General features: G+C 46.1%; 1 protein-coding gene across 2 annotated transcripts, besides 3 other annotated features; it reads right to left on the bottom strand.

Annotated features, from left to right (window-relative positions):
• Positions 1-236: 236 nt before the first annotated feature.
• Positions 237-2,646, bottom strand: GPR6 (G protein-coupled receptor 6). Of its 2 annotated transcripts, NM_001286099.2 has the most exons (3): positions 2,490-2,646; positions 2,155-2,263; positions 237-1,862 (listed from the first exon to the last, which is right to left on the bottom strand). In NM_001286099.2, exons 2-3 carry the CDS (start codon positions 2,179-2,181, stop codon positions 756-758), a joined length of 1,134 nt encoding a protein of 377 aa, NP_001273028.1. In that variant the 5' UTR covers positions 2,182-2,263; positions 2,490-2,646; the 3' UTR covers positions 237-755. The 2 variants fall into 2 exon arrangements, with proteins under 2 accessions (NP_001273028.1, NP_005275.1); NM_005284.5 differs by lacking the exon at positions 2,155-2,263.
• Positions 1,410-2,215: an enhancer, noted in NCBI's record as "H3K27ac-H3K4me1 hESC enhancer chr6:110299945-110300750 (GRCh37/hg19 assembly coordinates)". NCBI's record gives its function as "activates a minimal SCP1, AML or CMV promoter by ChIP-STARR-seq in primed H9 embryonic stem cells {active_cell/tissue: H9 hESC(primed)}" and the evidence as "EXISTENCE:reporter gene assay evidence [ECO:0000049][PMID:30033119]".
• Positions 1,410-2,317: a biological region, named in NCBI's record as "H3K27ac-H3K4me1 hESC enhancer GRCh37_chr6:110299945-110300750".
• Positions 2,154-2,317: a silencer, noted in NCBI's record as "fragment chr6:110299843-110300006 (GRCh37/hg19 assembly coordinates)". NCBI's record gives its function as "represses an EF-1alpha promoter that drives an FKBP-Casp9 reporter gene in an ReSE screen in phorbol 12-myristate 13-acetate-treated (for megakaryocytic differentiation) K562 erythroleukemia cells {active_cell/tissue: K562(+PMA)}" and the evidence as "EXISTENCE:reporter gene assay evidence [ECO:0000049][PMID:32094911]".
• Positions 2,647-13,230: the final 10,584 nt, after the last annotated feature.

Genomic DNA, 13,230 nt, shown 5'->3' with positions numbered 1-13,230 from the left:
AAGCAGGATTTCTTGGGCCCAGGAGTTCAAGGCTGCACTGAGCTATGATTGTGCCACTGCATTCAGGCCTGGGCGACAGAGTGAGACTCTATCTCGAACAAACGAAAGAGAAAGAAAGAAAGCAAGAGAAAGCAAGCAAGCAAGAAAGAAAGAAAGGAAGAAAGAAAGGAAAGAAAGACACTCATACACTTACAATTCAGCTAATTGTAATTCTATAGTCAGTGACATACCCCAAATTACATTCTTGTAATGGGTTTATTCGTGTACAAAACATGTTGTAATTTGTTGATGCATGTGCAGCAAAATATTCTATCACATACGACAAAAATACACCTTTTACTCCCTTTTCCCTGCCCTTGAAAATGGCAACACTGTTTTGGCAGTTCAGCAGCTAAAAATAAAGTGCTATAATTAAGCAGTATTGGAATGTCTTCGTTTGACAAACGTGATGTACAATTTGAGTATACAACCATATCTTTTTCTTGGTTTTTCACAGAATAGGAAGCTCCACATCCTGAACACCTCCAGAAGATACAAATATTTGTATATATATGTACACATGTATACACTGTATATGTAAAGTGCCAACAAGCCTCTTTGTCCTTGTAAGTTTGTTACATTTCTCTTTAGTCCCTTTTTCTTTCCAAAGTCAGACTCACACCATTGGGATCTCAGAGTTCGTCAGCAGGCACCGAGCTTACCAAAGGCTGGCTTGTTGGGGTGTGGTGTTGGTGAGAGGACACGGGGCGAGCCCTTCAGACCTCGCTGGGAGACCTGGAACGAAAGGGCACTTTGGACTGGAAACAGCCACAGAGCAGGAGCCACAGGGCGCGCTGGATCTCCTGGTTGCGGAAGGCATAGATGATGGGATTGATCATGGAGTTGTAGGTGGCGGGCAGCAGGGTGGCGTAAGTGTAGACCGCCGGGTCCTCATGGCTGCCCACCACGCAATAGATGGCGAAGGGCAGCCAGCTGGCGCCGAAAGTGCCCAGCACCACAGCCAGTGTACCCACACCCTTTCTGGTGGCAGCGAGATGGGGTGGCGCCAGGCAGTGCTGCTGCAGCGCGATCTGGTGCGCGTGGCGCCAGACCACCTGGCAGATGCGCACGTACAGGTGCAGCATGATGCCGAAGACCATGAAGAAGGCGGCGGAGAGCAGAGCCACGTGGCTGCGCGCCAGCGGGCGCACCACGCTGCAGGCGGCGCGCTCTGCCAGGCAGTTCCAGCCCAGCACGGGCAGCAGCCCCAGGCCTAGGGACACGGTCCAAGTGGCGGCAAGCAGGAGGTGCACGCCCAACAGGGTCCGGCGCGAGTAATAGGTGAGCGCGTTATACAGGGACAGGTAGCGGTCCACCGTAATGGCCAGCAGGCTGCTGACAGAGGCGGCGAAGGAGGCCACGAGGAAGCCCACCGTGAGCAGACTCACAGTCTCCGAGGGCACCAAGTACTGGAACACAAAGTGCAAGATGAGGCCACAGCCCGCCAACAGGTCAGCGGTGGCCAGGCTGCCTACCAGCACGAACATGGGCGTGCGCAGCGCCGGAGTGGACGCGATGAGCGCCACCACCAGCGCGTTTTCTCCAGCGATCACTGTCCCCGACACGCACAGGAGCACGTCCCACGGATTCACCGCTGGCAGCAGGAGTCCCGGTGGCCCAGCCGACAGCTGCGAGGACAGCTCCAGAGACCCATTAGCTCCGCCGCCGGCTCCTAGAGCCGCCGCAGCAGGGGGTCCCCATTCGCCCGTGTCCGGCCCCCCTGCTGCTGTGGCCGCCGCCGCCGCTCCTTCGGCCGCCACTACCACCACCTGGGAGTCGTTGAGCGAGGCGGCGCTCGCGTTCATCGCGGCCGGATTTGCACCCTGCATAGGGAGGGAGTGCAGGCGTCAGGTGTACACTTCAGGCTGCCAGGAAACTTCCCCACGCGTAGAGCCTCCTCTCGCATTGCCCCACTTGAGTTGCCCACCCCACCCTGGGACCCCAGAGCAAATCGGGGAATCATGGGTTAAGTGCGAACCCAAAATAAATACCTGTTGAGTGAGTGAGTGAAATGCCCACGCGGACTTCTGAGTTTTTGCAGATATACACCAGGACAACATGCACTCACATGCACAAGGATCAATTCTCCAAGGCTGCCTGTATTTGCACACGCACCCGAGTGCACCAAGCTAGGAGTGTCATCCTGGGAGAGTCCCGCCTGGGTTGTGGCGGCGCGACCAGGACATCCCCATGGGGCTGGGCAGCAGAGACGCTGTCCGCGGTGCTGAAAGCGAAGTTTCTGGCATTGCGAAGCCTGGAGAGTCCTGGAGCCCAGAGACCCCTGCGAAGGGGGTCTGGGAGGAGAGACTAGGGTGTGTGTATGGGGGCAGCAGAGGGTGGGAGTCAAGGTTGGCTCCATTTCTCCTCTTCTGGAAAGACCTGTCCCCTGGATATCTTTCTCCCCTCCTCTCCCCACATCCTCAAAGTTCCCTGGGAACTCGGCCACTCACCTGGGGCGTCAGGACTTCTGGAAGTCGCTGGTCATGGGCGCCGAGGCGGGGCGCCGGGCTGAGCTCCCCGCGCAAACAGAGCAGCTGCCTGCAGGAGGCGGCCGGGCCGGGGAGGAGGCAAGCGCGGGGCGCCTGTCGCTGTGCCGGCTCCGCGAGTGAGAGATACAGTTGGTGGCAGAAAAGGCGGCTGCGAGCGGCGCGCGCTGCAGATTGACAGGCAGGGCGTGGTGACGTCAGGCTCCCGGCTCCCGGTGCGAGCCCAGCACTCACTCTCCTCGCCAGCCCATCCTGTGCCCTCCCCGCCGCACTCCCCCTGCCCCCAACACTATCTGAGGGTCCTAGGAGGGAGGAGAAGCCAGAGCAACCACCTCCAGTCCAGAACTTCCAGGAATGGGATGGGAGAGAGACAAGGAGAGGTAGAAAGGAGTGAAGAAGACCCTGAGACCAGGCGGCGAAGAGGGTGAGCTGGGAGGGGAGGGGTGAAGGATGAGTGACACCTGCCGGGCAGCAAAGCCCAGCGTCAAAGATCACTGAGGGATCAGGTCAAAAAAGAAACCCCGGAGAAGGGGGAGGTTGGGACAGGGGTGTTTGATGGGAAAGTAGCTACCTTTAAAAAAAAATGCCGTTCCCGAAACAGGAATTATCTGGGAAAAGAAATTCACTTTTTAAAAATTTTATTTATTTATTTATTGAGACAGAGTCTCACTCTGTCGCCCAGGCTGGAGTGTAGTCGCCCGATCTCGGCCCACTGCAACCTCTGTCTCCTGGGTTCTAGCGATTCTCCTGCCTCAGCCTCCCCAGTAGCTGGAATTACAGATGTACGCCACCACGCCCAGCTAATTTTTGTAGAGATGGGGTTTCGCCATGTTGGTCAGGCTGGTCTCGAACTCCTGACCTCGTGTGATCCACCCGCCTCGGCCTCCCAAAGTGCTGTTATTACAGGTGTGAGCCACCTCACCAGGCCTGAAATCCAATTTTTAAAAAGGATGTTTGTGGTACATGCTCAGTTGAGTAGAGTCAGGGAAGAAATTCTGAGTTATGGGGAGCAGTTAAAAGATGGATAAGACAGGGACATCTGAGGAAAACAATCTCTTCTTTTGGAGGTTGCCTGTGCAATTCCTCTCTTTCCCATTATCTTTTCTGAACTCTACACAGCAGGTTTCACTGTGACCTTTTCGGCCCATGTTTTCCCGATTTCGGTAGCTGATATCGCCCTTGGAACTTGCGCTTTAATTAAAGACCAGGTCTGCATCTTGCTAGAGAAAAGGAAAACAGCAAAATGTGATTTACTTTCTTGGCTTCAGACTTTGCCCTGTTAATTAGTACCCTATAAAACAAATTACAGGACGAAAATCGTGATAACTCAGCTGCACCAGACTTCAGTAGGCAGGAGTTTTATTTTCAGCCCAGATAAATCATCCTTTTGTTTTAAAGGTGTTTTGTTTTGTCAGTAAGATACGAATATTAGTCTTCTTATTCTCTTTCTTCTCCCAGAATGTGCAGTAGCTGTACCTGGGCAAGAGCTAAAATAGTTGATGCCATCTGAGGTTCTAAAATAGATGATTGCACATTGGCATGATGGCATTGCACAGAGGCCACAGCCATACTTTTCAGGGACCACATGGTCTGGGAAAAGTGAAAATTGGCAACATTTGTTGCTAGTGCTCCCCCTACTTCTCCCTGTGGACCCTTTCCTCCCTTCACTTTGCCTCTAGCTCCAAAGAGGGGAAAAAAGATATTCAGACTGTCCATGGGTTGGAGGATAAGTTTACCCTAGGTTGCTGCCTTTAAACATGACCCCCAAGTCCAGACTATTCCTGCCTCAATGCAGCCAACTTAATTACAAGAACAAGGGACATATGACAGTTCAATTATTTGGTGCAATAGCTGATGTTGGACAGAAAGTGAGTTTACACACAATTTATCCATTTGGAGAGCTTAAAAAAATCCACACACCACTATTTTCTTGAACCCAAAACTTGGCTGAAGTTCTAAATTTCTGAAAAGAGCCGTTTTGTGTTTCGGTACAAGATTGTCATCTAAGAGTCAAGAATGTTATTTCAGAGCTGTCAAGTGAGCCGTCAAACCACTGTAACAGCATGTTAACTGAGGATTTTCCAAATGATCAGATAAAAGCCCAAGGGGAGGAGAATCCTCCTTAATATCTAAGTATGTTCCATTTTCACATGCCACAATGTAGCAGAAAGTATGAGGTTAAAATTGAACCTACCACAGGATCTCTGAATATCCTTAGGCTTCAACATTACCAAGAATGGATTTCTCAGTGATTTCCAGAGGAAGACAACACATGTAGAATCATGTACATAAATGATGGTTGAGGATATGTAGACTGACTTTGAGTGATGCCAATCTGTGGTTACCTCTTTTGGATGCTAGACTAGGTCCTGGGCAGACAGAGCATGTTCTTTCAAACTCCTCCTTATCTCCCCTATATCCACCCATATTTTGGAAGGTAGAAGATGGGAAAGCAAAATATGTCTGTTTCATCAGTTATGGATGGAAATTAGATGGACTTCTTTACTTGCCTTGCCTATAGCTACTATATAAGCACCTGCCCTTCCAATGGTCTCCTAAAGTGTTCAGCCTGTAAACTACATGAAATTTTCCACACATACCCTAGTATATGGGAGGAGATTGACACCTCAACTGAAGCTAGATACGATCAGCCATCCTTTGCTGGGCTAGTGACCAGATCCTTTTCTGTTGAAAATTTGAACTAAGAAACACGTTAACAACGGTGAGTCAGTGTTGGGCTCTGGACATGAAAGACAGTGATAAATTAGAGCTGAACCACTTGTGTGTTGGACCTTGTGTGAAGTGTTTAATCAGAGAAAGCCAACTGCTCTGGAAGAATGAAGCAGATGTGTGAAGAGGAACAGAGATGAAGAAGATCAAATGACCAAGAGGTGAAAGGAGTGACCTCAGTCCCTGAGTGTCTGGTTCCTGGCTCTGGGAGCCCAAATCCCTTGATGCCTTGAAATTACATTTTGGGTCTCTACCACAAACCTTCCTAATCTTGCGCTACCTTGAATGGTTTCTATTCTGTGAATCCTTGATCATTGACTGAAACATACAACCAAATGTATTATTCATCCACCAGCTTGTCTGGTTTTGTTTATGTTTTGGGGTCTTCAGAGTTTGGCTTCTGATTGGTAGTCACAGATTAAATTCATTATTGCCAACCCTTTGACCAACTTATCACAGGCTGAGGTGCCTTGCTTCTTTCTGTTCTAGCACTATTTAAGCATAAACATGAGGACACTTTTCTTGTCTGAGGCTAAGCCCAGGAATCAGAGCCTTTCAACCACAATCTTTCTTTCTCTAGCTTCCTTTGATATCTCATTCCCATCTCAGCCTAAGCCAGCAGTTCTCAATCCTGGCTGCATATTAGAATTACATGGAAGGGTTTTTAAAACTACCCATCTTTGGATCCCTCACCCAGAAATTCTGATTCATTTTGTCTGGAGTGGGTATTTTCTAAAGACCCGAAAGAAAACTCAGGGTTGAGAACACTCATCTAAACAATCCCTTTGTCAGTTTAGTGTGTAGTGAAACTCCTGAAATAGTGGATATCTTTTTGGAATAGTTGCAATAAAGAAATTTCAGTGAGAATCCAGCTCTAAATCATTGTGTAATTTCAGGTTTAACACATTCACTACATCTCCTCTGCAGACCTTTAATTTTCCATATACACACAGAACCTCCTTCCTCTCTCAAGATAAAGGCTGGCACATGGTTCTCTCTTGGCCCTGATGAATTCAATAGCCCCATTAGGGAGCACTAAACTCTGGCTCTGGTTCAGGTTGTCCCAACCCTTTATTCTGCTGTAGGTTTCAAGATACCTCAGCATTTGCACCCTTGCTCTGGCTGATCTCACAGCTGCCTCCCAGGTGTGCCCTCTCCTGGCTCAAATCCTTGCAAATCAATTCTGTTTCATAATATCAGGACTGCAGCCAGCCAAGCTGTCCAGAACCTTACAAAACTACGTTGAAAAGACCCACACTGGCAAGAAATTCTGGTCTCTCTGTCTCTTTCTTTCTCTCTCTCTGGGCATCTGCATGCGCATACACACACACACAAACACACACACACACACACACACACACACACGCTCCCTGTTCTTGATTCTTGGGGATAAGCAGTATAGTGTTCAACTGGGAAGTGTAAGTCTATCTGGTGGTATCCAGGTGCTTGTGCTGACATCTCAGGAAGACAGCAAGTGCTTGGTGAGATGTATGAAGCTGTTTATTAAGAAAGATTGTTGCTACAAGAGACAGAAATCACAAAGGGCCACTGAATACACTACATTGTTTGTCCAGATCCATGGTGTTGGATGGAGTGTAATCTTTTGGGGACACATGCTGAGGAAGATGAATTCTATTAAAAATATCTCCTTTCTTTCTGTTTCTGCTTGTCCCCAGGGGTGCCCCTCATCCTCAGGCATCAGTGCTCTATGGTACCTACTTCTTCAGCATGTCCAGACACATCGGGGATGTTCCTACCTCCCTCATGCCAGGTGGGCAGTCCCCACTCCAAAGGGCTTCTATCCTGGAAGCTCAGCATCAATTAATGTTCCCCACAAATTTAGATAAGGAGCAAAGCACCATTATTATCATCACATGTCCACAGGATGCAGAACACTGCAGGAAAGTTGAGATTTGGGGTTTAATTCACTTAATGAACATTATTTTGCATGAGAAATAAATCATAACATTTAAAGGCATATGTATTTTTTTCATAAAGAGTGAAAATAACTTTATTGAGTTTATGAAGGAATGTATACTATTACAACTTAGAGCACCAACTTTACTGATTATGAGAATGTTAATGAGAAAGTTGTTTCTATTAATTAGTGTATTTGAAAATGAACACAGAGGCAGTCTTCCAACCTGCCATGCCCCCCATTTTCTTTTCTCTCTCTCTCTCTCTTTTTGTGTTTTAATCTGTATTTCCCTGATAACATGTAATGTGGAGCATCCTTTCAGATGCATATGTACCATGAGGATATCTCTTTGGTGAGGTGTCTGTTAAGGTCTCTGGCTCCCCCCACCTTTTTTTTTTTTTTTTTTTTTTGAGAAAGAGAGAGTCTTACTGGGTCACCTAGGCTGGAGTCTCTCTCTCTCTCTCTCTCTTTTTCAAAAAAAAAGGTTCGGGGGTATATGTGAAGGTTTGTGACATGTGTAAACTCCTATCACAGGGTTTGTTGTACAAATTATTTTATCACTCTGGTGTTAAGCCCAGGACTCAATAGTTGTCTTTTCTGCTCCTCCCCTTCCTCCCACCCTGCATCCTCAAATAGACCCTACATGTTCAAAGTGCTTTGAAGCTCCTTCCGTACTATTTCATTTTATTCTTCGAGACAATTACATGGAGTTTGAAGTTATGATCTTTGCAGGTGGGATAACTGAGGTTCAGAGAGGTGAAGTTGTCCACAGTTACACAGGGCACTAGCAGGAGACTTGAGCCTTGATCTGGTTCATTTCACCAGCGTCATACTCACTAAGGGCTGCCATTTGCCAGGGACCATGACAGGTCCTGGAGCTGTTGATGGAAAGAACAGGATGGTCCTCTCCCTCACCCTTCCCTGGCATGGCCATCAGGCCCCCAGTAGCAGGTTTGCCTCTCTTTCTGTCCCTGTCTGGGCCAAGAGGGCAAGTGAGGCCTGATGAACCATGCAAAATGGAGCAGCACTATCATCAACTCTGGCCTCCAGGACACTGGGCATGTGGTCAGGGCTTCCCCATGTGGTAGGAAAGGTGCCTCCCCTTGCCACAGTTCTCAGCTCCCCTCAGTTTCCCTGAAGGGCAGGTGAGCAGGGGCTTGGGGTTGAGTAATTCAAAAAAGGTTCCTCTCCATTTCTAGCATAGACTTTTCCCTACCCCACCTTACCCCAATGTTTCTGCTTTGTATGAAAAGAAAGGCCACCCTTAAACTAGATAGCAAAATTAAGCCAGTTAGGGGCTGCCCAGCACCTGTTTAATCAGACAAATCCATTGTGTTCATGAGACTGACAATCTTGTGGGGAAGCAAAAACAAATATGGATCAAAGTGTGCAACAGTGTGTAGGCAGACTCAAAAACTCATAGAGGATTTACTGTGGATAGATGGATCCAAGATAATGGAGGTTGAATTTTATAACTTCAGTATTACTATGAGCAGCATTTGATAGACTGTTTTCTGTTTGCAAGCTGTTTTTTAAATGTATTGCTTTGAACAATTAAAGAGAATTTTGAAAGAAAATCATTTCCCAATATTCCCATCAGCTAAACAAGATTGCTTCACCCCCACCACCACCCCAAGACTGTAGACTTTTTGAGAGGATGGATCAATTCTAATTAATCTTTCCATTACTATTATCTGGCACAAAGTAGGTGCTAAATAAATGTCTCTTGAATGATTATTTCCAAAATTTATCCACATGTATATATATTTCATGTAGATTTATTGCATAGTGTGCAGTGTACTATACATACAGTTTACAATTCAAATTTTCACTTAGTAATAAATGGCATGTTGTTAATAGTTTTCTTTCCTTTTCTTTCTTTTCTTTTCTTTTTTATAGAGATGGGGTCTCGCTATGTTGCCTAGGCTAGACTCAAACTCCTGGCTCAAGTGTTCTTCCTGCCTCAGCCTCCTGAGTAGCTGGGATTACAAGCATGCCCCACCACACCCAGCTCTTTATTGTCAACCTTTTCTATGTTGCATTGTAATTATGTTTTTATACTTTGCCTAGTCATTGATTCAATAAGCATTTATTGAGTGCTAACTATATGCTATACATCGTGCTAGAAAATGACACCAAAATATTGTCTGTATTCAGAGACAAGTAAACAGATTTTATGAGGACGGTATAATGCATGTTATAAAAGATGTGAATATAAGGGTAATGAGGACACTCAGGAGACTTTCACCCAGCCTGGAGGAGTCACAGAAGGCCTCTCAGGGGAGGTGACACCTGAGCTGAATCTTAAAAGATGAGTAACTGTTATCTAGGTAAGGAAGACACGGAAGTGTTCCAGGCTGAGGGAGCTGCATACCCAAAAGCTTGCAGTCAAGGAAGCCTGGCACAGGGCACTGAGACTGTGGGTAGTTAACTCTGGCTGGCCAGGAAGACAAAAGGACAGAAGCACAGATACACCAGGTAGGTGGAGACAATTCATGAAAGGCCTCTTATGGCATAGCGGGAGTTGGATTTTATATGAAGGTAGTGGGGAATCAGTGCCAGATCTCCTTAAGCAGGAATGGTTGATAAAATCAAACTTGGGATCCTCTAACAATTTATGAAGGCCCCACCAACAACTGTATGGAGAATGGATTAGAGAAAGGTAAGAGTGAAGTCAGGCAAACCTGTTAGGAGGCGGTTACAATGATCTACTAAAAAAAAGGATTATGAAAGCTTAACGGAGGGTTGTAACAGAGGGGACTGGAGTAGTTCATGAATCCTTCAGATATTTTGGACTTATATTAGTTAAAGCATGTCTAGTTGCTGTGAAAGATAGTTTCAAAAATCTTGGTGGCATAAAGTACTAGGGGATTGTTTCTCACATGAAATTCAAAGCAGGCCTTTCTGCCAGGCAGGCAGCCTTTCACATGGTCAGTCTGGGGCCCCAGCTCCTTTTATCTTACAGCCCTGGGCTCCTCTATGATCTTGGAGTTTCCCGCATTTACAACGTTAGCATTTCACCATTCTGGTGGTTGGGGCATGAGCTTAGGGAAATCCACTTGGAGTATTTTATGGGACATGCCTGGGGAGAAAAATACAGATAAAGGGAGAAAAGGTATCAAGGGTGTCTCCCAGTTTTCAGATATGGTCAGGAATGGGGTTGGGGAGGAGCTAAATTGTTCATGCAGTTGTGGACATATGGAGTTTGAGGAAGGACAGCCAGGCAAATGCCTCCAGTAGGACATTGAATACAAGAGTTGCTCTGAAACTCAGCAGAGTCTAGACTGAAAAAATAGAGTAGGGTATCATATAATAATAATAAGAAGAAGAAGAATAGCTAGCATGTATTGAATTTGTACCATTTACTAGGTATGCTATGGGGTGGGTTCTGTTATTATCTCCATTTTACAGGAAAGAAAACTGATGCTTAAGAGGTGGAACAACTTTGCCACATGTTTGGAAAGTGAGAAATTCAGAATTTGAATCCCACGTGTCTGACTCCAGTTGAAAAGAGTTGATGAACCTAAGTGAAGGGGATCAGTGACAGTCCCTTCGGGAATACTGTTTTTACAGGATGGGTAGAGGAAGAGGTAATGACAAAGGATGTTGAGAAGAGCAGTGAGAAAGGCAGGACATATGATGGAATCCCAGCCTCAGTGAGGGAGACAAGACTGTGGGAGACAAGAGAGTGGGCCGTGGGAATCAAAGGAAGAGCAGTTTCAGGAGAAGGAGAGTCAAAGTACACCCTGGGAGGCTAAATGAGCTAAGGTCAAGAAGGAAAAACTATTCACTGAACACAGCAACCAGGATGTTGGTGGCCTTGCTGAAAGCACAGGGCAGCCAGGCTGAAGTGAATGGGTGTCAGTGAGGGGTGAGAAAGGTCAGTGCAGGTGCCTCTAACAAGAAGGTGGGCTTAAAGTGGGAGGGAGCAATAGGGCAGTAGCTAGATAGAGATGTAGGTACAAGGGAGAGCTTTCCTTGAAAATGAAAGCAACAAGAAGGGAAAAGAGACAGCCAAGAGGCTGAGGTTGATTTCTGGGAGAGGAGGTAATTGAGGGAGTGAGATGGTGGGGAACAAAGATAGGGAAGGCCTGCAAGACAGGTGGAGAGATTAACCTGAGAAAGTGGGCAGGGGCAGAAGGATGACAAGCACAGATGGGGCCACACATGATTGATAATTAGGGGGCCAGAAAACCAAGGGATTGCCTCCTAATTCGTTGCACAATGTGGGGATGAAGATATCAGACAAATATGAGATGGTAAATGGAAGGATTATTTTGATGGCTGCACAATATTACATTGAGGACACGGGGCAATGTTTAATTCACCATTCCCCTTCTGTTTGACATTTAGATTGCGTGTATTTTTGCTGTTGTAGACAACCCTACAAAGATTACTTTCATGCACATAATTATTTTTATTTTGCATGATTATTGACGTGAAAATTGTCAATCAAAGAGCAGAAACATTTTCACGGCTCTTAAAATGCACTGCCAAATTGCTTTTCAAAATGATGGTAATAATTTACAATGACAATAGCACTCTGTGAACGTAACAGCTTCTCTGCAGCTTTTCCAGCACTGGGTTTTACTATTTTAAAATAATCTTTCAATCTAATAAGCAAAGTGGTACCTCATTAAAAATTTAAATTACATTTATTTGACTAATATTTATTTGACTACCAATAACATTAAATATTTGTCTTTTTTGTAAGACAGTTTCAATTTCCTCTTATTTGAATGATCTATTCTTTACCCCATCTGTTAGGACCTAATGCTGTACTTGTAGAGCTGATGAAGTCCACTGTAGATAGTAATGCTTTGTATGTCCAATTTGAGGGATTTTTTTTTTCATTTTTCCTTTTCTAACTTTAGTTTTGATTGTCCTGGAAATTGCATTTTTATAAAGGTGGTTTTAAAAGATAATGTCCACTGCGGCTTCTAACCTCAGAAAGACACATCCATGGCTTTACAGTGGAGCCTTTCTGTCATTTATTAGAGAAGACAGAGGACCAAGAACTTCTGGGGAGATAAAAGGTTCTGGAAGGGGGCAGGTCCAGAGGCAGGCTGCAGTCTCCACCTGACTGCCCAGAGGCTGACTCTGCGTCCAAGGCCTGTACAATTTATCCAAGAAGGGTGTTAGCACATCAGGACAGTGGAGACTTTGGGCAGCTGGGAGACCATAGCCACCAAGTTCTGGCACAGAATTCCCTAAGAAGGTCAGAGGCTAGAACCTCAGCTGCAAGAAAAGCCAACAGGCTCTGCACAACTGGACAGCCCAGCCCAGCAGGAGCAAGGTGAAGAAGACCAACCCAGAACAAGTGGCATCCAGGCAGGATACAATCTGCTGTGAACTGAGCAGAGAAAAGGCCCTAAACAGAAAAATGGCTACACAGGAAAAGGAAAAGCATGGGGAGAGGAATGTCACAGTGACTTAATCCGTTGCCAAGGGCCAGGCACAATGCAGGGCACTCTGTGTGCATGGTTTGACCCAGCCACGCCCCTATAGGATCATATTTATTATTCCATTTTTGTTATTCTCTCCTATGTATTATTGATCACACAAGAAAACAGAGGCTCAAAGGGGTTAAATAACATTCAGTATTACACAGTTCATTAGAGATAGAGTCCATCTGGTTCTCAAATTCACCCTTCCTTAAGAAAGAAAGGTCTCAGCCCTGGAAAGGAACCCACAGTGTTGCTGGCTTCAGTACAATGAGGAGCTGGGAAAGAGCCCGCAGTGGGGAGCAGTGAGCTGATCGCAGAGGGGGCTGCAAGTTCAGTAGAGAAGGTTAGATGTGGTGCAAGAGGAAGCAGGGACCCACAGGAGAATTCTCAGACGAGTTGATTTGAATTGATGCTTTAGGAAGACAGCGAGGGAGTGGTAAGCAGAAAGAAAGATGTTTTCCTGTGACACATTTGTGGGGACCAAGTCAATAAAGCAGGCCTACTAAATGAGAGCACACAGGAACTGAGATTTCTTAGTTGCCACTAAGATAAGTCACCATTCTGCATGCTTATCTGAAATGTAATCCTCTGAGCTTTGAGAAGGATTCTA

Source organism: Homo sapiens, chromosome 6, assembly GCF_000001405.40.
Source record: "Homo sapiens chromosome 6, GRCh38.p14 Primary Assembly".
Taxonomy (NCBI): Eukaryota; Metazoa; Chordata; class Mammalia; order Primates; family Hominidae; genus Homo; species Homo sapiens.
Note: the sequence above shows the minus strand (reverse complement) of the source record. Positions and strands in the feature narration are given on the sequence as shown.

What these genes read in the sequence shown, in the direction of transcription:
- GPR6 (NM_001286099.2), bottom strand. Translation starts at nt 2,181, where the DNA reads ATGACACTCCTAGCTTGGTGCACTCGG. An exon ending in TCCTAGCTTGGTGCACTCGG is followed by an intron (nt 1,863 to 2,154) that starts GTGCGTGTGCAA and finishes CTCCCTATGCAG; the next exon opens with GGTGCAAATCCGGCCGCGAT.